Genomic DNA, 1,973 nt, shown 5'->3' on the forward strand with positions numbered 1-1,973 from the left:
AACAGAGTAAAATTCTCCCAGGGGTTCATGAAGCCCCTGCAATAACACAATGCTACTAATTAATTAATTAATACAATGCTGTTATTTCTGCCAACAGAAATCTCAGAATATGAAAAACACACAAGAGAGGCTAAATGGGAAAATTACTGACACCCAAGCCAATGACCTGAGTCAGAACAACTTTTATCAGAATGAAGCGCAGAAATATTAATATCAAGAAGCTGAACTTTTAAATCAAAGCCAGAAAATGTATTTGCCCAAGGTAAAGGCATGAGCAGAAGGTTTACAGAGAGAAGGACAATGATGATAAGGAAAGCTTGCTTCTTTACAATGAATGCATTGTGACAAACTCGTGAGGCACCAAGCAAGCTGACAAGGGTCCCTTCTTCCTTGCACCTAGGACAGTTTGGCTAAAGGACATCTAGGGTGACACGCCTCAGACAGTCCGCATTAATTTCACATCCTGGAATAGCCCGAAGAACCTGTCCAACCTGACTGTCAGCCTTTTCAAAATCACTTTTGGAATTCTTTGTTCAATCCTGCTTGGTTTACACTGGAACGTCTCTTCTGGGACTTCTCTGGTGACTTGATCTTTGTCCACAATGACATAGCCCAGGAGACCCACCAATACCCAGATTTGCCCAGTGGGTGACACTAATATTAGATCCAATTAGAAGTGTCAATTCAAAACAGATGAAGGACACATTTACACACAAGTCAGGGCTGCCACAAATTCATTTCTTCCTCACAATATCCTCTAGCAGAAAAAAGGGCAAACTGACCTTGAAGAAACCTCCTTTTTTTTATCGGTTACCATGGCAGCATGAACCGTCTCTCCCCAGGGCACCTGCCCATGGGTTTGCACCTGCCAGCTGGTAGCAAGAGTGCACCAGCAGCCTTGGTTCCCAGTGGCTGTGCTCACATCATCAACAAAGGTACCAGCAGTGCCAATTGGCTTCACGATATGGATACCTGCCCGCTAAGCATTGGCCTGGAGCTCGGGGACTTTCACAAAGGCCAGCCAACAGCTGGCAGGCAGGAACCTCCAGGTCATTGTCATCCTGGGCTGAATTGGAACATGCACTTGGGAGACAAAGGCTCTGTCTGTAACCACAGCATCCCTTCCTCCCTGGGTGTTTTATTTTCAGCTCTGGGTCCCCTGCTATGGGAAGGCCATGTGGCTGAAGGTGTCTTTCTTGTTTTTTTTTCCCCCCCCTCCTTTAGCATTGTCCTGCCTTGTGCATGGTGCAGAAAAGCTTTCTCTGTCCCATGTCTAGTTTTATTGCAAATCAGAGAGCTCACCATAAGTCATCCTGGGCCAGTGGGTTCAGAGGTGGAGCTGGTAACCAGAGGCCATGTCAAACTTCCTCCTCTGGCTCCATACCAAGGCCTCGGAGGATTTTTTGTCACATGAGGTTACTGTAGTTTCACATCCTCTAAAGCAAAGCTCTGTCGAAACTCTCTATTCTCACATGGCTTCAGCTCAAACAACCACCCTACTCAGCTGCCTTCCTAACCCTTTCAAGCCGTGAATCAGGAGACCTGGGTTCCAGTTTCAGCTCAGTCTGCGTGCCCCAGAGCAATGACGGGGCCTCAACTTCTTTATCATGAAAATTAAGAGGCCAAAGTACCTTTCACTCAGGTTCCTTTCAACTCTCTCTCCCCTATCTTAAAAAAAAAAAAAAAACAACAGCTTATTTTTCCTGTTGCTTTTAGAAGAAACTCTTAACCTGAGACTCTCTAAAAATGAATAGAGATTATTGTGGTTTAAAAAATAAATGGCTACACACAGCAACCTGACTGTATCTCAAAAATATTATGGTAAATGAAAGAAGCTTCACATACAAAAGAGCTCATACTGTATGGTATTATTAACATGGAATTCAAAAATAGGCAAAACTAATCTACAGTTTTAAAAATTAGAATAGTGGTTGCCTCTGGCTGTGAGGTAGGAGCAGGGATTACCTGGGAAG

The 1,973-nt window shown here is 44.2% G+C and overlaps 2 annotated features.

The window, feature by feature from the left end:
* Window positions 1,422-1,716: a silencer, noted in NCBI's record as "tiled region #489; K562 Repressive non-DNase unmatched - State 22:ReprW". NCBI's record gives its function as "represses a minimal TATA promoter and a strong SV40 promoter by Sharpr-MPRA in K562 cells {active_cell/tissue: K562}" and the evidence as "EXISTENCE:reporter gene assay evidence [ECO:0000049][PMID:27701403]".
* Window positions 1,666-1,715: an enhancer, noted in NCBI's record as "active region_22569". NCBI's record gives its function as "activates an Ori minimal core promoter by ATAC-STARR-seq in GM12878 lymphoblastoid cells {active_cell/tissue: GM12878}" and the evidence as "EXISTENCE:reporter gene assay evidence [ECO:0000049][PMID:35858748]".

Source organism: Homo sapiens, chromosome 5 (assembly GCF_000001405.40).
Source record: "Homo sapiens chromosome 5, GRCh38.p14 Primary Assembly".
NCBI classification, from domain to species: domain Eukaryota; kingdom Metazoa; phylum Chordata; class Mammalia; order Primates; family Hominidae; genus Homo; species Homo sapiens.